General features: G+C 47.9%; 1 protein-coding gene and 1 pseudogene across 1 annotated transcript in view, besides 1 other annotated feature; both read right to left on the reverse strand.

Annotated features, from left to right (window-relative positions):
• MUC16 (mucin 16, cell surface associated) overlaps positions 1–24927 on the reverse strand; it is a gene marked incomplete in the record, with an annotated part of 216908 nt that overhangs the window by 172280 nt on the left and 19701 nt on the right. Inside the window, 1 exon segment of the mRNA NM_001414686.1 lies at positions 14514–14945. Within this exon segment, the coding sequence (NP_001401615.1) occupies positions 14514–14945 (432 nt within the window).
• Positions 18307–19506: an enhancer, noted in NCBI's record as "MED14-independent group 3 enhancer chr19:9150106-9151305 (GRCh37/hg19 assembly coordinates)". NCBI's record gives its function as "activates an origin of replication core promoter dependent on BRD2, BRD4, P300/CBP and CDK7 cofactors, and independent of MED14, by STARR-seq in HCT116 cells {active_cell/tissue: HCT116}" and the evidence as "EXISTENCE:reporter gene assay evidence [ECO:0000049][PMID:35650434]".
• On the reverse strand, positions 18557–18629 carry TRQ-TTG8-1 (tRNA-Gln (anticodon TTG) 8-1; annotated as a pseudogene).

The following is a 24927-nucleotide window of genomic DNA, read 5'->3' on the forward strand; positions in this document are numbered from 1 at the left end:
TCACTGCAACCTCCGCCTCCCGGGTTCAAGCAATTCTCCTGCCTCAGCCTCCTGAGTAGCTGGGATTACAGGCACCCGCCACCATGCCCAGGTAATTTTTTGTGTGTTTAGTAGAGACAGGGTTTCACCATGTTGGCCAGGCTGGTCTCAAACTCCTGACCTCAGGTGGTCTGCCCTCTTCGGCCTCCCAAAGTGCTGGGATTACAAGCATGAGCCGCTGTGCCCGGCCAAAAGAGTCTAGACTAAAGAAAAGTCCGGTTATCAAGAAGAGACATGACTTCAAGTATAGTCCGGTGGCTAAAAGCTATGGCTCTCAGAACAGTTTATTGAGCACTTAAGATGTGTGGATTTTCGTGAGTATAAATTATACCTCCATATAAAGGGAAAAATAGAGGAGGATAGTATTCTATATCTTTCTGTGGTGATGCTGATGTTCTATATCTTAGTAGGGATTTGGGTTAGACAGATGTTTGCATTTGTCCAAACTTAGCCAACGTACACTTGAGGTCTGTGCATTTAATTGAGTATAAACTTGACCTCAAAAGATAAAATTCTATACGTGAATACTGACCTCTAGTTAATGCTCTGCGTGAAGAACTTTTTGTTTACTTTTATATTTATTTATTTATTTACTTTTAGAGACAAGGTCTTGCTATGTTGCCCAGTCTGTGGCGTGCAGTGGCACAATCATAGTTCACTGCACCCTTGACCTCCTGGGCTCAAGCAATCCTCCCATCTCAGCCTCCTAAGTAGCTGGGACTACAAGCATGCACTACCACGCCCAGCTAATTTTTTACTTTTTTGTAGAAATAAGGTCTCGCTCCATTGCCCAGCCTAATCTGGAACTACTCTCCTCCTGCTTCACCGCCGCCGCCTCTTCCTCCTCCTCCTTCTCCTTCTTCTCCTTCTTCTTCTCCTTCTCCTCTTCCTTCTTTTCTTTCTTCTTTCTTTCTCTTTCTTTCTTCTTTCTTTCTTTCTGTCTCTCTCTTTCTTTTTCTTTCTTTCTTTCTCTCTTTCTCTTTCTGAAACCTCTTCCTCTTCTTCCTTCTTCCTTCCTTCCTCGTCCTCCTCCTTCTTCTTTCTTCTTTTGTGAGACAGGGTCTCACTCTGTCACCCGGGCTCTGAGTGCAGTGACACAATCATAGTTCACTGCATCCTTGACCTCCTGGGCTCAAGTGATCCTCCCACCTTGACCCCCACCCAAAGTGCTGGGATTACAGGCATGAGCCACTGCACCTGGCCTGCAAAATTATTTCTATGTTTGAATTTTTTATGATAAGATTTTGGGGGAAATCCCTTGCATTTTTGCATGTTACTGCATACAAATTCTAATTTCACCTTCAAAAGGGGGAAAATAAGAGTATACATGGCTTTGAAGTCAGATTCACCTGAGTTCAAATCCCCAAAGGGCTTCACTTCTCACATGGCTATGCCCTTCCTTCTTCTGACCTGCTTTCTGTCCCATCAACCTGGGCTAATGATTTATTGAGGTGGGGTTTTAAGCACAAGCTAGGGAACCAGACACACTGGGTTTAAATCAAAGACCATTATTCTAAGTGAATTAATGCAAAACAGAAGACCAAATACCACGTGTTTTCACCTCTAAGGAGCTAAACACTGAGTACACACAGACATAAAGATGGGAATGATAGGCCGGGCGCAGTGGCTCACACCTGTAATCCCAGCACTTTGGGAGGCCAAGGCCAGTGGATCACAAAGTCAGGAGTTTGAGACCAGCCTGGCCAACATGGTGAAACACCGTCTCTACTAAAAATACAAAACTTAGCTGGTTGTGGTGGCGGGTGCCTGTAATCCCAGCTACTCAGGAGGCTGAGGCAGGAGAATTGCTTGAACTCGGGAGGTGGAGCTTGCAGTGAGCCGAGATCGCACACTGCACTCCAGCCTGGGCGACAGAGGAGACTCCGTCTCAAAAAAAAAAAAGAAAAGAAAGAAAAAAAAATGACAACTCCACCAGTTCCCAGGTGTGCCGTCTTGGGCAGTGACTTCAGTGTTTTGTGCATTTGAAATGGGTAATGACAGCACCTACTTTGCAGCATTGCTGTGAGGCTGAAATGAGGACTCCCGGTGCCCTTCCAGCAAAGCTGGTGAAGTGGCATCAAGCATGTTTATCTGTGAGAGGGTGCGAGACACCTGCAGTCACCCTGGGGGAGACTTTGAGAGACTTCAGAAAAGCAGGAGTGGGGCAGGGCCAAGGAAATATTTTCTTGCAATTATTTGCAATTACTAAATCTGTTTGCTTTTATCCTCCCCAGGCAATGGAACCTGAAAAACAGAGGTTTCAAAGGCACATCTGGGCTGGCACGGTGGCTCATGCCTGTAATCCCAGCACTTTGGAGAGCCGAGGTGGGAGGATCAGTAGAACCCAGAAGTTTGAGACCAGCCTGGGCAACATAGCAAGACCCCCATCTCTACAGAAAGTTAAAAAATTAGCCGGGCGGCCGGGTGCGGTGGCTCACACCTGTAATTTCAGCACTTTGGGAGGCCAAGGTGGATGGATCACAAGGTCAGGAGTTCGAGACCAGCCTGGCCAACATGGCAAAACCCTGTCTCTACTAAAAATACAAAAATTAGCTGAGTGTGGTGGTATGCACCTGTAAACCCAGCTTCTCGGGAGGCTGAGGCAGGAGAATCACTTGAACCCAGGAGGTGGAAGTTGCAGTGAGCCAAGATCATGCCACTGCATTCCAGCCTGGGCGACAGAGTGAGACTCTGTCTCAAAGAAAAAAAAAAAATTAGCCAAGCATGTTGGTGCACACCTGTACTATCAGCTACTCATGAGGCTGAGGTGGGAAGATTGTTTGAGCCTAAGAGTTCAAGGCTGCAGTGAGCCATTACCATGCCTCACTTCAGCCCGGGTGACGGGGCAAGATCTTGTCCAAAAATAATTTTTCTTTTTAAAAAGCACACCTGCTCTTTCCTGATTGTAAATCTTAAAAGCAGGATTAAGATGCCCGCCAGGACTTGCTGTGGGGTCTCCAGCCCTCAGCTCAATCCCCTATTATACTTATTAAGTCCATCTCTCCATATTTACTGAATTATGTAAAGGGTAGAGGCAAAGATAATTATGGTCTCAAGTATGGGTGACTCTGAAGCCAGAAGCCCCATGGTTTGAATTGTGTCCCCCTGAAAAATAGACGTTGATGTCCTAATGCCCAGTACCTCTCAGAATGTGACCTTATTTAGAAATATTGGAAACGAGGCTACCAGGGTGGGCTCTAATCCAATAGGACTGGTGTCCCCTTAAAAAGGGGAAATTTGAGGCCGGGTGTGGTGGCTCCCGCCTGTAATCCCAGCACTTTAGGAGGCCGAGGTGGGTGGATCACGAGGTCAGGAGTTAGAGACCAGCCTGGCCAACATGGTGAAACCCCATATCTACTAAAAATACAAAAATTAGCCAGGCGTGGTGGTACGTGCCTATAGTCCCAGCTACTTGGGGAGGGGGCTGAGGCAGGAGAATCGCTTGAACCCGGGAGGCGGAGGTTGCAGTGAGCCAAGACCATGCCATTGCACTCCAGCCTGGGTGACAGAGTGAGACTCCATCTCAAAAAAAAAAAAAGGTTGGGGAGGAAATTTGGGCACCAAGACAGACATACACAGAGATAAGCCCATATGAAGATGACGGCAAAGATTGGAGTGAGGTATCCACAAGCCAAGGAAACTTGAAGATTGTCAGCAAATAAGGCCGGGCGTGGTGGATCACACCTGTAATCTCAGCATTTTGGGAGGCCGAGGTGGGAGGATGGCTCGAGGCCAGGAGGCCAGCCTGGCTGACATGGCAATACCCCATCTCTACTAAAAATACAAAAATTAGCTGGGCATCGTGGTGGGCACCTGCAATTCCACCTACTGAGGAGGCTGAGGCAGGAGAATCATTGAACCTGGGAGGCAGAGGTTGCAGTGAGCCAAGATCGCTCCACTGCACTCCAGCTGGGCAACAGAGTGAGATTCTGTCTCAAAAAAAAAATAAAGTTAGCAAACAACCAGACGCTGGGAGAGAGACATAGGACAGATCCTTCCCTCCACAGCCCCAGAAGGAACCAACCCTGTCCACACCTTGATCCCGGACTTCTGGCTTCCAGAACAGTGAGACACTAAATTTCTGTTGTTGAAGTCACCTAGTCTGTGGTACTTTGTCACTGCAGCCCTAGGAAATTAAAACACGCTGTAAATAGCAGTAAAGGAGCTGGTAGTGGGGCGGGAGAAGAGGGGGCAATGACTCAGTTCACACTGTCAGATTTTTGCCAGGGGCTGACAGGTACCAGGGAAAGTGTCAGGTATGAGGACGTGACAGTGACTGAGGGTTACAGCCCCTGCCCCCAGGGGGCTCAGAGTGACATTGCCGAGGTGGGTGATGAATAAGAAATAGGTCCATGCCCCTTAGGTGACAACAGTGGGTTGGACCCACAAGGAGGGAGTTGACTCTAATCTGGGGCTCCATGCAACCTGAGGTTGGATGCCTAAAAGATGGGTAGTGTTGGCCAGGTGGAGTGGCTCATGCCTGTAATCTCAGCACTTTGGGAGGCCAAGGAGAGGACATCACTTGAGCTCAGGAGTTTGAGACCAGCCTGGCCAACACGGTGAAACTCCGTCTCTACTAAAAATACAAAAATTAGCCAGGCGTGGTGGCGCGTGCCTGTAATCCCAGCTACTCAGAAGGCTGAGGCAGGAGAATCACTTGAGCCCAGGAGGTGAAGCTTGCAGTGAGCTGAGGTCTCGCCACTGCACTCCTGCCTGGGCAACAGAGCAAGACTCTGTCTCACAAAATTAAAAAAATAGGCCGGGCCTGGTGGCTCACGCCTGTAATCCCAACACTTTGGGAGGCTGAGGCGGGCAGATCACTTGAGGTCAGGAGTTTGAGACCAGCCTGACCAACATGGAGAAAGCCTGTCTCTACTAAAAATACAAAATTAGCCAGGCATGGTGGTGCATGCCTGTAATCCCAGCTACTCTGGAGTCTGAGGCAGGAAAATCGCTTGAGCCCCGGGAGGCGGAGGTTGCAGTGAGCTGAGATCATGCCATTGCACTCCAGCCTGGGCAACAAGAGCGAAACTCCGTCTCAAAAAAAATAAATACATAAAAATAAGAAATAAAGAAATAAATTACCCAGTCTCAGGTATTTCTTTACAGCAATGCGAGAATGGCCTAATATGCCTTGCCTCCAGTGTGGGCTGAACCTAATGACTCCGTTCTAAGGAACAGAAACCGGCAAAAGCAATGGTGTGTCACTTTTGTGATTAGGTTACAAAAGACTGCGATTTCCATCTCACTGCACTCCATCTAGCTCCTTCTTGGCTTGCATGCTTTGAAAAAACAAGTGGCCTCCTGGGAGAAAGCCGCGTGGCAATGACACTGAGGGTTTTGTTTGGTTTTGTTTTGTTTTGTTTTGTTTTGTTTGAGACAGAGTCTCGCTCTGTCGCCCAGGCTGGAGTGCAGTGGTGCGATCTCCGCTCACTGCAACCTCCACCTCCCAGGTTCAAGTGATTCTTCTGCCCCAGCTCCCGAACAGCTGAGACCACAGGCACGTGCCACCACATCCGGCTAATTTTTTCTTTTTGTTTGTATGTTTGTTTGTTTTTGAGACGGAGTTTTGCTCTTGTTGCCCAGACTGGAGTGCAATGGCTTGATCTCAGCTCACTGCAACCTCCCCGTCCTGGGTTCAAGCCATTCTCCTGCCTCAGCCTCCCGAGTAGCTGGGATTACAGGCATGCACCACCACGCTCAGTAATTTTGTATTTCTAGTAGAGGTGGGGTTTCTCCATGTTGGTCAGGCTGGTCTCAAACTCCCAACCTCAGGTGATCCACCCGCCTCGCCTCCCAAAGTGCTGGGATTACAGGCCTGAGCCATCACACCCGGCTGACACTGAGGGCCTTAATCTAATAGCCACTGGGACTAAATCCTGCCAACAGGGAGCTTAGATGTCAGTCCTCCCCTAGCTGATCCTTACAGTGAGGACAGCCTTGGATGACATCTGGATACCAGCCTAGGAGAGACCTTGAGGCAGAAAACCCAGCCCAGAGTCCAGGCCCACTGGAACTGTAGATAATAAATGTTGTTTTGAGCCCATTCATTTTGGAGTAATTTGTTACACGATGATAGCTGATACAAATGCCACACACCAACTGACTCATGTCCACTTCATTGACTTCCCTGTTTTTGTGGAGGATGGAGGCCTTCACTTTTCCAAATAAATTTTTTTTATTTTTACTTATTATTATTATTATTTTGAGATGGAGTCTCGCACTGTCACCCGGGCTAGAACGCACGGGCGCAATCTCGGCTCACTGCAACCTCCGCCTCCTAGGTTCAAGTGATTCTCTTGCCTCAGCCTCCTGAGTAGCTGGGATTACAGGTGTGTGCCAACACACCTGGCTAATTTTTGTATTTTTAGTAGAGATGGGGTTTCACCACGTTGGCCAGGCTGGTCTCGAACTCCTTACCTCATGATCCACCCACCTCAGCCTCTCAAAGTGCTGCGATTACAGGCGTGAGTCACCGCGCCCGGCCTTCTTTTTTTTTTCAATTGTTTTTTCTTTTATAGAGGTGAGGTCTTGCTGTGTTGGCCAGGCTGGTCTTGAACTCTTGGCCTCAAGCAATCCTCCCACCTCGGCCTCCCAAAGTGTAGGATTACAGGCGTGCACCACTGCGCCCGAACTCCAAATGAATTTTTGTTGCTTATGTGAAGTCACTTCAAAGAGGCTCTTATTGACCTCTGCAGAATCAAAGAAGTTGGACTTTTCTGTTTGGATTTCATAATAGTAAGTGAACCTGCCACTGGGCATTCCTTTTGTTTTTGTTTTTTGAGACAGGGTCTCCCTCTGTCACCCAGGCTGGAGTGCAGTGGTGTTATCATAGCTCTATGCAACCTCGACCTCCCAGGCTTAAGCCATCCTCCCACCTCAGCCTCATGAGTAGCTGGGACTACAGGTGCACCCCACCATGCCTGGCTAATTTTTGTATTTTTTGAAGAGATGGAGTTTTGCCATGTTGGCTAGGCTGGTCTCCAACTCCTGGGCTGAAGCAAATCCTCCTGCCTCGCCCTCCTGAAGTGCTGGGATTATGGGTGTGAGCCACCACACTCCACCTGGACTTCTTAACTAATATCTAGAAGAGAGCTGTTACTTCGGAAAAAACCCTCAAGCTTTTTTTTTTTTTTTTTTTTTTGAGGCAGAGTCTCGCTCTGTCACCTAGGCTGAAGTGCAGTGGTGCGATCTTGGCTCACTGCAACCTCCGCCTCCCAGGTTCAAGCGATTCTCCTGCCTCAGCCTCCTGAATAGCTGGGACTACAGGCGCACACCACCACACCCGGCTAATTTTTGTATTTTTAGTAGAGACGGAGTTTCACCATGTTGGCCAGGCTGGTCTCGAACGCCTGACCTCAGGTGATCTGCCTGCCTAGGCCTCCCAAAGTGCTGGGATTACAGGCATGAGCCAGTGCGCCTGGCAAAAATCCACAAACTATTTCAAGGAGAGGGGAAACCAAGATGTTCTGAGTGGGTAGAGGAAGAAGGTGAGGATGGAGCTGAGCTGGACCCTGGATGAGGGCATTTCAGGAAAATCTGAGCCCCAAAAAATGACCCCGGTGGACACACTCTCCCCAGTGCTGCAGACACTGCAATAACCAAATATCTAGCTAGTCATGTGAAATCTTCAGAGTTAACAAAAATTCCCTAAGATGTTGACAATTTAATTAAAACATTTCTAATCTACTTAAAAAAAAAGGTTAACTGACACATATTGTATATATTTACAGAGTACAATGTGATATTTTGATCCGTGAACACATTGTAGACAGATTAAATCAAGCTAATTTTTGTTTTTGTTTTTGTTTGAGAAGGAGCTCCGCTCTGTCACCCAGGCTGGAGTGCAGTGCCACGATCTCGGCTCACTGCAACCTCCACCTCCCGGGTTCAAGAGATTCTCCTCCTTTAGCCTCCTGAGTAGCTGGGATTACAGGCATGCGCTACCATGCCTGGCTAATTTTTTTGTACTTTTGGTAGAGACGGGATTTTGCCATGTTGGCCTGTCTGGTCTCAAACTCCTGACCCCAGATGATCCGCCCACCTTGGCCTCCCAAAGTGCTGAGATTACAGGCGTAAGCCATCGTGCCCAGCCATAAATCAAGCTAATTAACATATCTATCACATCACCTACTTAGCACTTTTTGGGGAGACGAGAATGTTTAAAATAGGCTCTATTAGGCTGGACGAGGTGGCTCATGCCTGTAATCCTAGCGCTTTGTGGGGCTGAGGTGGGTGGATAGCTTGAGCCCAGGAGTTTGAGACAAGCTAGGGAAACACAGTAAAACCCCAACTCTACAAAAAATACAAAAATTAGCCCAGCATGGTAGCTCACACCTGTAATCCCAGCACTTTGGGAGGCCAAGGCGGGTGGATCACCTGAGGTCGGGAGTTCAAGAACAGCCTGACCAACATGGAGAAACCCTGTCTCTACTAAAAATACAAAATTAGCCAGGTGTGGTGGTGCATACCTGTTAATTCCAGCTACTCAGGAGGCTGAGGCAGGAGAATCGCTTGAACCCAGGAGGCAAAGGTTGCGGTGACCGAGATTGCGCCATTGCACTCCAGCCTGGGCAATAAGAATGAAACTCAAACTCAAAAAAAAAAAAAATACAAAAATTAGCCAGGTCTGGTGGCATGCACCTGTAGTCCCAGCTACTCAGGAGGCTGAGGCAGGAGGATCACCTGAACCAGGGAGGGAGAGGTAGCAGTGAGCTATGATCACACCACTGCACACCAGCTTGGGGGACAGAGTGAGACCCTGTCTCAAAAAAAAAAAGGCTTTGTTAGCAATATTTAAATATACATGATTGCTAACTATGGCCATCATCCCATGCAGTAGATCATTAAAGTGTGTTCCTATTGACTATTATTTAAAAGATACGCCGGGCACAGTGGCTCACGCCTGTAATCCCAGCACTTTGGGAGGCTGAGGCGGGCGGATCACGAGGTCAGGAGATCAAGACCATCCTGGCTAACACGGTGAAACCCCACCTCTACTAAAAATACAAAAAATTAGCTGGGCGTGGTGGCAGGCGCCTGTAGTCCCAGCTACTCCGGAAGCTGAGGCAGGAGAATGGCGTGAACCCGGGAGGCGGACCTTGCAGTGAGCCGAGATCGCACCACTGCACTCCAGCCGGGGTGACAGAGAGACTCCGTCTCAAAAAAAAAAAAAAGACAAAAAAATATTTAATAACAGATGTTGATGAAAATGCTGAGAAAAGGGAACGCTTGTACACTGCTGGTCAGAGTGTAAATTAGTTCGACCTCTATGGAAAACAGTATGAACATTTCTCAAATAGGCCGGGCGCGGTGGCTCACGCCTGTAATCCCAGCACTTTGGGAAGCCGAGGCGGGCAGATCATGAGGTCAGGAGATTGAGACCATCCTGGCTAATACAGTGAAACCCTGTCTCTACTAAGAATACAAAAAATTAGCCAGGCATGGTGGTGGGCACCTGTAGTCCCAGCTACTCGGGAGGCTGAGGCAGGAGAATGGCGTGAACCTGGGAGGCGGAGCTTGCAGTGAGCCGAGATCGCGCCACTGCACTCAAGCCTGGGCGACAGAGTAAGATTCTGTCTCAAAAAAAAAAAAAAATTCTCAAATAACTAAACAATAGAACTATCATTTGATCCAGCAATCCTACTACTGGGCATATACTCAAAAAAAAAAAAAAAAAAGAAATCAATATATCAAAAAGACTCCTGGCTGGGCATGGTGGCTAAGCATGTAATCCCAGCACTTTGAGAGGCCAAGGTGGACAGATCATTTGAGGTCAGGAGTTTGAGACTAGCCTGGCCAACATGGTGAAATCCCATCTCTAATATAAAATACAAAAATTAGCCAGGCGTGGTGGCAGGTGCCTGTAATCCCAGCTACTCAGAAGACAGAGGCACAAGAATTGCTTGAACCCGGGAGATGGAGGTTGCAGTGAGCTGAGATCACGCCATGCACTCCAGCCTGGGTAATAGAGCAAGACTCTGTCTCAAAACAGACAAACAAACAAACAAACAAACAGATACCTGCACTTGTAGGTTTATCACAGCACTACTCGCAATAGCAAAGATAAGAAATCAGCCTAAATGTCCATCCACAGAGGACTGGCTAAAGAAAATGTGGTACATATACACAGCGCAATACCACACAGCCATAAAAAAAAATCTTTGAGCCGTGAAATCATGTCTTTTGCTGCAACAGGGATGGAACTGGAGGTCATTATCTTAAGTGAAACAGGTCAGACACACAGTCAAATATTGCATGTTCTTACTCATACATGGGTGCTAAAAAATGTGTTCATGTGGATGTAGAGAGTGGAATGACAGAGCAGATGTGGTAGGGTGATGAGAAATTACTTAATGGCTATGATGTACCTTATTGGGGTGATGGATACCCCAAAAGCCCTGACTTCACCACTATACAATTTATGCATGTAACAAAATTACATACCCTCTCTAGATTTATTTATGTATTTACTTATTGAGACAGAGTTTCACTCTCCTTGCCCAGGCTGGAGTGCAATGGCATGATCTTGGCTCACTGCAACCTCCACCTGTAATCCTAGCACTTTGGGAGGCCAAGGGGAGCAGATCACCTGAGGTTGGGCGTTCGGGACCAGCCTGACCAACATGGAGAAACTCCATTTCTACTAAAAATACAAAATTAGCCAGGCATGGTCATGCATGCCTGTAATCCCAGCTACTTGGGAGGCTGAGGCAGGAGAAACGCTTCAACCCGGAAGGCAGAGGTTGCGGTGAGCCAAGATCTCACCATTGTACTCCAGCCTAGGCAACAAGAGTGAAACTCTGTCTCAAAAAAAAAAAAAAAAAGAGATGGGGTCTTGCTATGTTGCCCAGGCTGGAGTGCAGTGGCTATCCACAAGCAATCATCACAAACTACAGCCTCTAACTTCTGAGCTCAAGTGATTCTCCCACCTCAGCTTCCAAAGTAGCTAAGACTACAGGCACATGCCACGACCTGCAGCTGCATAGACTTTTTTACAACCTTTATCTTCTTGATTTTCTGCCTTGGCAAGGGCAGAAGCCCTGACCACATTGTTTACTGTACATCCCATGGTGTTTGACACAGGTGTTACCACCCAGCAGGTGCTCAATAAATATTTGCCAAACAAGCGAAGGAATGAATGAAGGAAGTTAGTGTCCACAAGACAGGTCTGCTTCACTCTTTGAGTTCGGAAACAAAGCAGATGACAGGAGCTGGTGGCACGTACACTCCCAAATGTCCAGTGCCAACACCTTGCCCTGCTCTTACTGGCTGGCCAGGTGGGAGCTGACTCGTACTTCCTCCAGCTCCCCAGCAGAAGCTGTATGGCACTTCCCAGCTGCTGGGAGGACCCCTTCTCATTGCACAGTTGGCCTCATGACAGCCTCGCCCTACTGCTCTTCATGGTCTCCTGGGCACACCTGTGGTGTTAGCCAGCTCAGGTAACATCATGACCAGCTGCTAATCTCAAGTGTTCACAGAAGCAGCTGAGAAGGACAGCAAGGAAGCGTTCCCGTGAGGCCAGACTGGGAAAGCCCAGAAGGCTGAGGTGCACTGAGCTCTCCTGAAATATGTAAAGAGCACATTTGGCTCTAGGAGGTAGTGACTTAGAGGGTCTTCAGCAAATGACTTAAAAGAGGCATCCTCTACCTGATGCTTTCAGTGAGCCAGGCATTGTGTTAAGTGTTTGCTTTGTGCTATCTCTCTGTCTCCTTTTTTTAGATGGAGTTTCGCTCTTGTTGCCCAGGCTGGAGTACAATGGTATGATCTTGGCTCACTGCAACCTCTGCCTCCTGGGGTCAAGCGATTCTCCTGCCTCAGCCTCCTGAGTAGCTAGGATTACAGGCGTGTGCCACCACGCCCTGCTAATTTTTGCATTTTTAGTAGAGATGGAGTTTCTCCGTGTTGGTCAGGCTGGTCTCGAACTCCTGACCTCAGGTGATCCGCCCACTTCGGCCTCCCAAAGTGCTGGGATTATAGGCATGAGCCACCGCGCCCGGCCTCTTTTTTTTTTTTTTTTGAAACAGGGTCTTGCTCTGTCACCCAGGCTGGAGTGGAGTGTAGTGACGCGATCTTGGCTCACTGCAACCTCTGCCTCCCAGGCTCAACCCATCCTCCCAAGTAGCTGGAACTACAGGAACCCTCCACCAAGCCTGGCTAATTTTTTTGTAGAGATGGGGTTTTACCATTTTGCCCAGGGTGGTCTTGAACTCCTGGGCTCAGGCAATCTGCCTTGGCCTCCCAAAGCACTGGGATTACAGGTGTGAGCCACCATACCTGGCCAATGTGCTATATCATTAAATGCTCTTAGAGCCACATTGAACAGATGAGCTGCTGAGAACCAATGGGTTCAGCAATGTGTTCACAACCAAGGGTTCAAATCCAGAACTCTGAAGTCAGAGATGTACAAGAATAACCACTGGCCTCCCTGTCCCTCCCTACCTTACATGTGCCTTGCTCTGGGACAGACCCTGGAAACGCTCTAAAGCAGCTCTTATGGTGGAAATGCAACGCAAGCCATATATGTGTTTTAAAACTTTCTAGCAGCCCCTCCCCACACACACACATAAAAAGAAACAAATGAAAATCACGTTAATAATATATTCCTGGCCAAGTGTGATGGTACACACCTGTCATCCCAGCTACTTGGGAAGCTGAGGCAGGAGAATCACTTGAACCTGGGAGGCGGAGGTTGCAGTGAGCCGAGATGGCGCCACTGCACTCCAGCCTGGGCAACACAGAGAGACTCTGTCTCAAAAAATAAATAAATAAAATAAAATAAAAAATAATATATTCCAGGTCTTGGCAAACTTTCAGTAAGGGCCCAGAGTGAGTATCTTAGTTTTCACAGGCCATGAGAACCCTGCTCTGTCTTCCTCTTTTGTTGTTGTTGATTTCCCCAATCCTTCAAACATGTAAAAACCATCCTATTTTTTTTTTTCTAAGACAGAGTCTCACTCTGTCACCCAGGCTGGAGTGCAGTGGCGTGATCTCAGCTCACTGCAATCTCTGCCTCGCAGGTTCGAGTGATTCTCCTGTCTCAGCCTCCTGAGTAGCTGGGATTACAAGCGCCCGCCACCAAGCCCAGCTAATTTTTTGTATTTTAGTAGAGATGGGGTTTCACTATGTTGGCCAGGCTGGTCTCAAACTCCTGACCTCAAGTGATCCACCTGCCTCAGCCTCCCAAAGTGCTGGGATTACAGGCGTGAGCCACTGCACCCGGCCAGTAAAAACCATCCTTAGCTTGAGATCTGGACAAAAAAGAACTACAGGCTTTGTCCATGACTGGAAGGACTCAAGAAACAAATAGTAATTCATTTTAAAAATAATTGAAGGAGGGCCAGGTGTGGCAGCTCACGCCTGTAATCCCAGCACTTTGGGAGGCTGAGGTGGGCAGATCACCTAAGGTCAGGAGTTCGAGACCTTCCTGGCCAATATGGTGAAACTTCATCTTTACTAAAAATACAAAAATTAGCCGGGCGTGTTGGCAGGTGCCTGTAATCTTAGCTACTTGGGAGGCTGAGGCTGGAGAATCGCTGGAACCTGGGAGGCGGAGGTTGCAGTGAGCCCAGATCATGCCACTGTGCTCCAGCCTGGGTGGAGCAAGACAGAGCAAGATCTGGTCTCGAAAAATAAATAAGTAAATAAATAAATAAAATAATTGAAGGAGGAGAAGAAGGGGGAGGAGAAAGGGGAAGAAGAGAAAAGAACGAGGGGAAGAAAGGAGGCGGAGGGTCAGGGAGAAAAGGAGAGGGAAGCAGGAGGAGAAGAAAAGGAGGAAGAAAGAAAGAGGAGGTTGGGGCCGGGTGCAGTGGCTCACGCCTGTAATCCCAGCACTTTCGGAGGCCGATGCAGGAAGATCATGAGGTCAAGAGATCAAGACCATCCTGGCCAATATGGTGAAACCCCGTCTCTACTAAAAATACAATCATTAGCTGGGCATGATGGTGCATGCCTGTAGTCCCAGCTACTCAGGAGGCTGAGACAGGAGAATCGCTTGAACCTGGAAGGCAGGGGTTGCAGTGAACTGAGATCCTGCCACTGCACTCCAGCCTAGCAACAGAGCAAGACTCTGTCTCAAAAAAAACCAAAAAAACAAAAAGAGGTTGGAAGGAGGGAGAAGAAACATCTACTAAACCCTTACATCATGTGGACGCCATCTTTGCTGGGTAACTCCTCACTGCAGCTTAAATTTCACTAGCAGAGAAACTCCTGATTCCCTCCCCTAGGTTCACCCTACCTGCCTGAATGCTACATACTTCCCCCATCCTCCACATCATCCTGTTTTATTGTGATACTTTGTTTCAAACTTGTCTTCACTAGTTGACTCTAAACTGCGTGAAGCTGCAACCAATTTGCCCATCCTCTGGCATCAGGCACAGTTTCAACGTCTACTAGACCAATAAAGAATCAAAGACATTTAAACACTGGCAGGGCCAATGTCTAGTTAGAAGATTAAAAAGGCAAGGACTTACTGTCTCCGGTCCTGGTGTGGGAATGTGGCTGGTGCCTCAGCCCTGAGTGTGCAGGATGTGACTGCTCAGTGGGCACGGGATACACTGGGATCCTGGGGCCTCCAGGGTCCCATCCCTGGCCTCTGGCGTCCAGCCTCCAGGAAGTCATAGGACCCTCTGGCCTCGCAGGTGACCTTGAAGGAACTGGGCTGAATGCTGCCCTTCTGATCAGCTTTCTCTTGTTTGGCTGCCTCTTGGTGTCCACAGAAGCATCATTCATGTTCCTGACTCTGGACAGTGAGCGTGTCCCCAGGGTTCTCCCACAGGAGATGGGCATATCAGGGCACAGGTCTTCTGCAGAAGGCTGAGATGTGGGTACATGGTGACCACCCAGGATTTCTGTGGCTGCAACCAGGCTTAGCAGGGCTCTGGTGTCCAGATGAGTAATTCCTCCTGGGGAGAGGAGAGAGAGGAGACAGGATCAGTGTTACCTCTTCAGTGATTTAGAAAACTCAGAGCCATAAGTATACTTCAGAAGAGGCAATCCTCTATAAGTGCTCCCTGAATAAGACCCCAAATTGCAAACAAACCTTGCAAACAAAGAGCTAGTCTAGGCCGGGCGCGGTGGCTCACCCCTGTAATCCCAGCACTTTGGGAGGCCGAGGCGGGTGGATCACCTGAGGTCAGGAGCTCGAGACCAGCCTGGCCAACATGGTGAAACCCCCCTTCTACTAAAAATACAAAAATTAGCTGGGCATGGTAGTGGGTACCTGTAATCTCAGCTACTCAGGAGGTTGAGGCAAGAGAATGACTTGAACTCGGGAGAAGGAAGTTGCAGTGAGCTGAGATCGTGCCATTGCATTCCAGCCTGGGTGACAAGAGCAAAACTCCATCCCAAACAAAAAAAAGAGCTAGTCTAGTGCTAATCTGTCCAATTCTGGAAGCTACAATAATAAAAATTGAAAATAGCAGTCCTACTATTTATGGAGTCACCAGTGTATGCCAGCATTGACCATGCTTCCTCCCAATCTTTTTGACAACTCTTGTCAATATTGGTAAAGTTTATAGCAGTATCCCTCAAGGTTTGATTCACATAGGAATCATTTGTTAAAATGCAGTTTCTGATACGGAAGATCCTGCGGAGATTCTTCATGTCTAACAAGACCCCAGGTGACCATTCTGCTTCACTTCACAGACCTCGCAGAGAGTTCAAGTGGATGTATTTGGGCAAACTGAGCATTTAGTGACTATTTGCTGGATGAATGAATGGATGGGTGGATGAGTGGACAGACGATAGATGGATGTATGAGCAGATAGATGGATTGATGAGTGGATGGATGGGTGGGTGGGTGGATGGGTGGAGGAATGAATGGGTGAATAGATGGATGAATAGAAGATGGATGGATTAATGAAAGATGGCTGCATGGATGGAAGAAGGGGTTGGTGGGTGAGTGCATGAATGGATAGATGGATGAGTGGATGAATGCATGGATGAGTGGATGAATGAATGGATCGGTGAATGGATGAATGGGTGGGTGGGTGGATGCAGGAATGAGTGGGTGAATAGATGAATAGAAGATGGATAGATGAATGAAAGATAGTCATCTTTATTAAATATCGGATGAATGAAAGAGGCAAGTTCCCCCATAAGCCTCTGAAATGTGGTTATTAGAAAATAATTGTGTCCTGGAAGCCAGCTCAGGGCCAGGCACATCATAGGTTCTTAGAAATAAACAAGCACCTTGGCACTTGAAAAAAATGTCCAAGGCATGAAGGTTATTCTCACATTTTTCTCTTCTCTCCTAAAGCAAGTTGTAAGACTCTCATGTGAGAGCAGCCCTCCCTATCCCGGGAGGAGAGGAACATCTTATCTCTGAAGACACAGGACACAGAGAAGAATCTGAACAAACAGGCCTGGCTAAGTTCCCCCAGTTTACTGGCAGAAGATCCTTTCTTTTTTTTTTTTTTTTTGTTTAACCCAATCCTACTTCTCTATGACTATCCACCTCTTTATCAGACCTAGCATAAAAAATTACACAGGTTGGCCAGGCGCGGTGACTCACCTGTAATTCCAGCATTTTGGGAGGCCAAGGCAGGTGGATCATTTGAGGTCAGGAGTTTGAGACCAGCCTGGCCAACATGGTGAAACCCCATCTCTACTAAAAATACACAAATTAGTCAGTGATTACAGGCATCTCAGCCCTTTTAGATCATGCTCACCAAGCATCCTCCCTGGCCACTGCATGGTTTCAATAACCTCCCACGCACTTGTAACATCCAAACCTATAACTCCAGCCCCGCTCCAGAATCAAATACTCAGCTACCCTGTGGAGATAGCTGACCGACTCCAAGCCTAATATGGGTGTGACAGAGCCGATCACTGCTCTAGGTGCCGCTTTTCCTCTCTTGCTGAATGATTCCAACATCCACTTATTTGCCCCAAACTCCTAGAGATTACTCCATCTTCTTCCCTCATCCTCAGCCCCAAATACTATATTTCCTTCATATAACACCTGCTGTCATTTACGGTAATCACTAACTGGAGCCCCTACCCCCCAATAACCTTAGAGCTCTGCAAACAAACAGATGTGGGGAACCAGACTACGCCACCCCAAAATATGCCCCTTTAGCATAAGGACTGTTGAACTGAAGGCAATTAAGAAGTGGGCATGGGCTGGACGCAGTGGCTCATGCCTGTAATCCCAGCACTTTGGGAAGCCAAGAGGGTGGATCACTTGAGGTCAGGAGTTCGAGACCAGCCTGGCCAACATGGTGAAACCCCGTCTCTACTAATAATATAAAAATTAGCCAGGCATGGTGGTAGGCTCCTATAATCCCAGCTACTCGGGAGGTTGAGGCACAAGAATTCCTTAAACCCGGGAGGTGGGAGTTGTAGTGAGCCAAGACTGCACCATGGCACTCCAGGCTAGAGTGAGACTCTTTCTCAAGAGAAAAAAAAAAGTGGGTGCAGAAAGGCTCTCTATCCTCTTTCCATTTGCCCAAAAGCAAATAGAGACACAGGACAGAGAGCTGACTGTACTTGGAAATTGCTAAGAGAGTAGATTTTGGGGGTTCTCAAAAAAAAGTATGGGAAGTAATATATATGTTTTGTTTTGTTTTGTTTTGTTTTTGAGATGGAGTCTCACCCTGTTGCCCAGGCTGGAGTGCAGTGGCACGATCTCGGCTCACTGCAACCTCCGTCTCCTGGGTTCAAACGATTCTCCTGCCTCAGCCTCCTGAGTAGCTGGGATTATAGGCACCCGCCACCATGCCCGGCTAATTTTTGTATTTTTAGTAGAGACAAGGTTTCATCATGTTGGCCAAGCTGGTCTCAATCTCCCGACCTTGTGATCTATCCGTCTTGGCTTCCCAAAGTGCTGGGATTACAGGCGTAAGCCACCGTGCCCAGCCAGTAATATGTATGTTAATTAGCTCAATTTACTCAGTCCACAATGTATACAAATTTCAAAACATCATCTTGTATATCATAAATATATACAATGCTTTGTCAATGTAAAAAATGAAAAAGTGCCGGGCACAGTGGCTCACGCCTGTAATCCCAGCACTTTGGGAGGCCAAGGCGAGCAGACCGTTTGAGGTCAGGAGTTGGAGACCAGCATGGCCAACATAGTGAAACCCCGTCTCTACTAAAAATATAAAAATTAGCCAGGCATGGTGGTGAGCGCCTGTAATCCCAGCTACTCGGGAGGCTGAGGCAGGAGAATTGCTTGAACCCAGGAAGCGGAGGCTGCAGTGAGCCCAGATCATGCCACCGCACTCCAGCATAGGCGATAGAGCAAGACTTTGTCTCAAAACTAAAACAACAACAATAACAAAACGAACACAAAAGAAACCAACGAAACCCTAACTCAATGCACTCCAACCTGGGCGACAGAGCGAGACTCCATCTTAAAAAATAATAAATAAATACAAAATTCAAAATTACACACCTGGCTCACATATTTCCACACTGGGTACTGCTATCTTGTAAGTATCCACATTTTACAAAGAATAAGATTGAAGACACAGAGAGGCTAAGCTCCCAGTGTAACACAGCTGATTAGTAGCACAGCTGAGACTTAAACCCAGACCACGTGGTTTCAAAGTCAGAGGACCTAGCCACTAGGCTACACTGCTGAATGCTGTTGCCTCCATATGCTTCATCCATTATTGTGGGAAGGGGTAACTGAGGATCAGATACCTGCTCCCCAAGGAAGCCCTTTCACCTCGATTGTCCACCCTGGACAGGAGTTGAGCAACATGTTTGGACTTGTCTGCCTCTCCCCTGCAGATTCTCAACCAGGGCTGATGTCAATCTTCTTCATTCACATCACACAAGCAAAAGGAAACTATTTGTGAGTGTCAGGTGGAAGAAAAAGTAAGGTGTGGAACAAAAAACAATTGTATTTCTGGATGGTTGCGTTTCAAATAAACGAAACTCACTCTCTGTGAGTGTGGCCCGAGGGACAGAACCAGGGTCACCACCCGGCTTCCAGAAACACCTATTTCCAGCAGAAGCGCCCTCAACGGATCAGGGTCACTGGGATTCAAGACCTGGCCCCTTCCTAGGACTTTAGGGGCTGGCCTCCCAGGGAGAAGATAGAAGAGGAAGGTGAGCTCTTTTCTTTGTCTTTTTTTAGAACACTTCTATCTGGAGCCACACGCCCCTGTCACTAACGCCACACCGACCCACAGTCAGAGTTACTCATGGTCAGACTCACCCTAAACCTATCCTACACGCCCAGATGCAGCCATTCCCAAGCCCTTACCCACCGCTGGTATGCTCCCTCAGGGACGTGCAGCCTCAGAGATATACTTCAACAGCATCTTCACACAACCCCCCGACCCTCTGAGACCCACCTGCTTACAAACATACAACCAGTTATTTGGCCCTACAACAGCATCATTTTCTTTTCTTTCCTTTTCTTTTAATTTAATAATTGCAAGGGAGCTTCGTAGTTCTGTTTCTGGTCACATATTCCCTTGCAAATCATGCCATAAAGGCTGGGTGCGGTGGCTCACGCCTGTAATCCCAGCATTTTGGGAGGCTGAGGCAGGTGGATCACGAGGTCAGGAGTTCAAGACCAGCCTGGCCAACAAGGTGAAACCCCGTCTCTACTAAAAACTACAAAAAAATTAGCTGGGTGCGGTGGCAGGTGCCTGTAATCCCAGCTACTCAGGAGGCTGAGGAAGGAGAATCGCTTGAACCTGGATGGCAGAGGTTGCAGTGAGCTGAGATTGTGCCACCGCATTCCAGCCTGGGCAACAAGAGTGAAACTGTCTCAAAAAAAAAAAAAAGAAAGAAAGAAAGAAAAAAGAAAAAGAAAAGGAGAAAGAAAATCATGCTGTCGTCATGCCTGTAACCCTGCACTTTGAGAGGTCGAGGCGGGTGGATCGCTTGAGCACAGGGGTTCGAGACCAGCCCAGGCAACATATGGAGACCTTGTCTATACAAAAATACAAAAATTATCTGGGGGTGGTGTCGCGTGCCTGTAGTCCCAGCTACTCAAGAGGCTGAGGCAGGAGGATCGCTTGAGGTCAGGAGGTCCAGGCTGCAGTGAGCTGAGATCACACCACCGCACTCTAGCTTGAGTGACAGCCTCTCGAGTAGCTGGGACTACAGTTGCGTAACACCACACCCAGCTAATTTTTCTATTTTTGTAGAGACGGGGTCTCCCCATGTTGCCCAGGCTGGTCTTGAACTCCTGGGTTCAAGCAATCCACTCTCCTTGGCCTCCCAAAGTGCTGGGATTACAGGTCTGAGGATGGCATCAAGGGAATACATGACTAGAAACAGACCTCCAAACCTCCCTTGCAATGATTAAATCTACCCTCCACATTGCAAGTCACCCCTTTATAGGATAAAAGCTTTAAGGAAACATGACCGGGCGCGGTGGCTCACACCTGAAATCCCAGCACTTAGGGAGGTCAAGGTGGGTGGATCACCTGAGGTCAGGAGTTTGAGACCAGCCTAGCCAACATGATGAAACCCCACCTCTATTAAAAATAAAAAACTTAGGCAGGCATGGTGGCACACACCTGTAGTCCCAGCTACTCAGGAGGCTAAGGCAGGAGAATCGCTTGAACCCGGGAGGCGGAGGTTGCAGTGAGCCGAGTTAGTGCCATGCACTCCAGCCTGGGCAACAGAGCAAGACTCCGTCTCAAAAATAAAAACAAAACAAAAAACAAGAAACATTTATTTTCTCACATAATTCGTGTGAGCCAGGAGTTGAAGGGCAGCTTAGATGGGTGCTTAGTGGCTTTCAAGAGGTTGAAGTCAAATGTCCTCTGGGGCTGCAGTCATCTGAAGGCTTGATGTGGGCTGGAGGATCCAGTTCCAAGGTGGCTCATTCATTTGCTTGGCAAATTAGTGCTGGTTGTGGGCAGAAAACCTCAGTTCATTGCCATGTAGGCCTCTCTATAGAGCTGCTTGAGTATCCTGGTGACAATATGGAAGCAGTCATGTCTTTTATGATGTAAATTAGTGCCAGGAGCTGGGCACGGTGGCTCACTCCTGTAATCCCAGCACTTTGGGAAACCGAGGCGGGCAGATTGCTTGAGTTGGAGACAAGCTTGGGCAACATGGCGAAACCCCACCCCTACAAAAGATACAAACATTAGCCAGGCTTGGTGGCGTGCACCTGTAGTCCCAGCTACTCTGGAGGCTGAGGCAGGAGGATTACCTGGGAACCTGGGAGGCGGAGGTTGCAGTGAGCCAAGATCCCAGCACTACACTCCAGCCTGGGTGACAGAGGGAGACTTCATCTCAATCGATCAATAAATAAATTAGGTACAGGTGTGGACGATGGTCCTCAGGTATTATACCTTAAACACCTTGAGTACGACTTCTCTTGATCTAAAGACCAATAAATTTGCCTTCACTCACTCTTCTTTCTTTTTGAAGTTCCGGGCTTCTCTTTGATATCATTTCCCTTCAGCCTCAATAACTCTCTTTACTGTTTCTTTTAGAGCAATTCTGTTGATGATGACTTCTTTTCATTTTCTTTTACCTATTTATTTTACTATTGTTCCTCCTAGATATTTTCACTGGTATAGAATTCTTAGTGAATCGTCATGTTCTCTCAGCATTTTAGAAACATTGTTCCATTGTGTTCTAGAGTCCATGGTTTCCAGTGAGAAATCCAGTCATTCAAATCATTGTTTGCTAGAGGGTGTTTGGTGTTTGGTGTTTTTCTTTTTTTTAAGAGATGGGGTCTCGCTATGTTGCCCAGGCTGGACTCAAACTCTTGGGCTCAAGCGATCCTCCTATCTCAGCTACCCAAATAGCTGAAACTACGGACATGTACTGCGTTATTAATTCAAGCCTCTGCATTTTGGGGTCGTTTCTTCTATAACAATAGATAACTGGGACAGGCGCAGTGGCTCACGCCTGTAATCCCAACACTTTGGGATGCCAAGGTAGGCAGATCGCCTGAGGTCGGGAGTTCAAGAAGAGCCTGACCAACATGGAGAAACCCCATCTCTACTAAAAATATAAAATTAACTGGGCATGGTGGTGCATGCCTGTAATCCCAGCACTTTGGGAGGCCACGGCCGGTGGATCACCTGAGGTCAGGAGTTCCAGACTAGCCTGGCCAACCTGGTGAAACCCCGTCTCTACTAAAAATACAAAAATTAGCTGGGCGTGGTGGCAGGTGCCTGTAATCCCAGCTATTCTGGAAGCTGAGGCAGGAGAATCACTTGAACCTGGGAGGCAGAGGTTGCAGTGAGCTGAGATCGCACCACTGCACTCCAGCCTGGGCGACAGTGAGACTCCATCTCAAAAAAAAAAAAAAAAAAAAAAGTGTGGGGATTACAGGCAGAGCCACCATGCCTGCTGTCTGTGTCTGTTTTGTTGAGCCACCAACAGGCTGTTAACTTGAGTACATTTCTTCTGCTCTCTGACTTAGTGTACTCATCTGGAAAATGGGGGTGAATGTGCTCCCACACTGCTGAGCTGTAGAGGGCCTTAAATGAGTTAATCTCTCCCTGAAATCTCTCTGTGAATGGCCCAACCGTAATCAGATTCCGTAAAGGGTAGCTGTGGTCATTCTTCTTTTTTCCCTCCTCCCCTCTTCCACTCATTCTGGTGACCCAAGATTTCCCAGTTCTTTACCTATGACTCACCCCACCTCAGAGCTTTTTCTTTTTCTTTTTTTCTTGAGATGGAGTCTTGCTCTGTCACCCAAGCTGGAGTGCGGTGGTGTCATCTCTGCTCACTGCAACCTCCGCCTCCCAGGTTCAAGCAATTCTCCTATCTCAGCCTCCAGAACAGCTGGGATTACAGATGCACACCAGCACGCCTGGCTAATTTTTGTATTTTTAGTAGAGACAGAGTTTTACCATGTTGGCCAGGCTGGTCTCGAACTCCTGACCTCAAGTGATTGGCCCACCTTGACCTCCGAAACTGAGCTTTTTTTTTCCCTTCCTTTTTTTTTTGAGACAGAGTCTCACTCTGTCGCCCAGGCTGGAGTGCAGTGGCGCAATCTCGGCTCACTGCAACGTCTGCCTCCCGGGTTCAAGAGATTCACCTGCCTCAGCCTCCCAGGTAGCTGGGATTACAGGCGAGCACCACCACGCCTGGCTAATTTTTGTATTTTAGTAGAGACAGGGTTTCACCATGTTGGCCAGGCTGGTCTGGAACTCCTGACCTCAAGTGATCTGCCCGCCTTGGCCTCCCAAAGTGTTGGGAATACAGACGTGAGCCACCACGCCCGGCCCAGAACTTTTTCTTACAGGCCTCTTGGACCACCTGACCCAGATACAGGACATTTCCTACAACTCCAGAGGAAAATCCCCTTCTTCCTTCCTCTACGGAAGTGACCGAGAGAAAGTAACACTCACTGTTTCCTCTCTTCCAGACCCTTCTGAAAATTCTAATTCCAGAAAGCTCATCTTATAAACCAAAAATAAAATTCTAAGCCCCCTAACCGACTTCATAGACCCCTCTTTTGGCCAAGAGGATCCCAAAGGAACCTGAAAAACTAGTTCAGCCCATGATAAGGAGAGGATTTGGACATCCCTCATTGTACCCCTCCCTTTGGAGTTTAAGCACAACTGACTAGCATTAACATTAAAACAGAGGCCCAGAGAGTTGGCCAATATATTGTCTTTTTGTTTGTTTGTTTTTGAGACAGAGTTTCGCTCTTGTTGCCCAGGCTGAAGTGCAGTGATGCGATCTCAGCTCACTGCAACCTCCACCTCCCAGATGCAAGTGATTCTCCTGCTTCAGCCTCCCAAGTAGCTGGAATCACAGGCACGCACCACCACGCCCGGCTAATTTTGTATTTTTAGTAGAGACGGGGTTTCACCATGTTGGCCAGGCTGGTCTCAAACTCCTGACCTCACGTGATCCACCCACCTTGGCCTCCCAAAGTGCTGGGATTACATGTGTGAGCCACCATGCCTTTTTGCCTTTCTAACGGAGCCCCTGGCAAATTCAAAAACTGTTTTGCTCTCTGTCTGCAAGTCTCCCTGGCAGATCCCTCAGTTATATTCGTACCCACCCCTTGAATGCTGTGGCTTCCAGAGATCCACCGGAACACCAAAGACTTCCATTCTCAACCACCTGAATCTCCGGAATCCCCTGCACCCACCTCCTCTCCCAGTGTTTCACGAATCAGCTAATCCTTCAAGGTCTTTAAAATGTATCCACGTCTTCCTCCTGGATTATTGCCTCCTGATAGCCTCTCTGATTTCTTTCCACCTTGTGCCCTAACAGTCTGCTCTTTGTACAGCAGCCAGAAGGAGGCTGTGAAAAATAAGAGTCAAAGCATGGGCTGGGCGTGGTGGCTCATGCCTGTAATCCCAGCACTTTGGGAGGCCATGGCAAGAGGACTGCTTAGGCCCAGGAGTTCAAGATAAACTTAGGCAACATAGCGAGACCCTGTCTCTACAAAAAAAAAAAAAATTAAAATAGGCCAGGCGCAGTGGCTCATGCCTATAATCCTAGCACTATGGGAAGCAGAGGCAGGCAGATCACCTGAGTTCAGGAGTTCAAGACCAGCCTGGCCACCATGGTGAAACTTTGTCTCTACAAAAATACAAAAATTAGCTGGGCATGATGACGGGTGCCTGTAATCCCAGCTACTCAGGAGGCTGAGGCAGGAAAATCACTTAAACCCAAGAGGTGGAGGTTGCAGTGAGCTGAGATCATGCCATTGAACTCTAGCCTGGGCAACAGAGCAAGACTCCATCTCAAAAATAAAATAAAATAAAAAATGAGCCAGGTATGGTAGTGCACACCTGTAGTCCCAGGTACTTGGGAAACTGAGGCAGGAGGATCACTTGAGCCCAGGAGGTTGAGGTTGCAGTGAGCTGTGATCAGCCACTGCACTGCAGCCTGGGGCACAGAGCAAGACCCTGTCCAAAAAAAAAGAAAAAGAAAATGATAGACCAGAGCTTAATGTCTTTCCATGGTTCTGCATATATGTCA

This window comes from Homo sapiens, chromosome 19 (assembly GCF_000001405.40).
Source record: "Homo sapiens chromosome 19, GRCh38.p14 Primary Assembly".
NCBI lineage: Eukaryota > Metazoa > Chordata > Mammalia > Primates > Hominidae > Homo > Homo sapiens.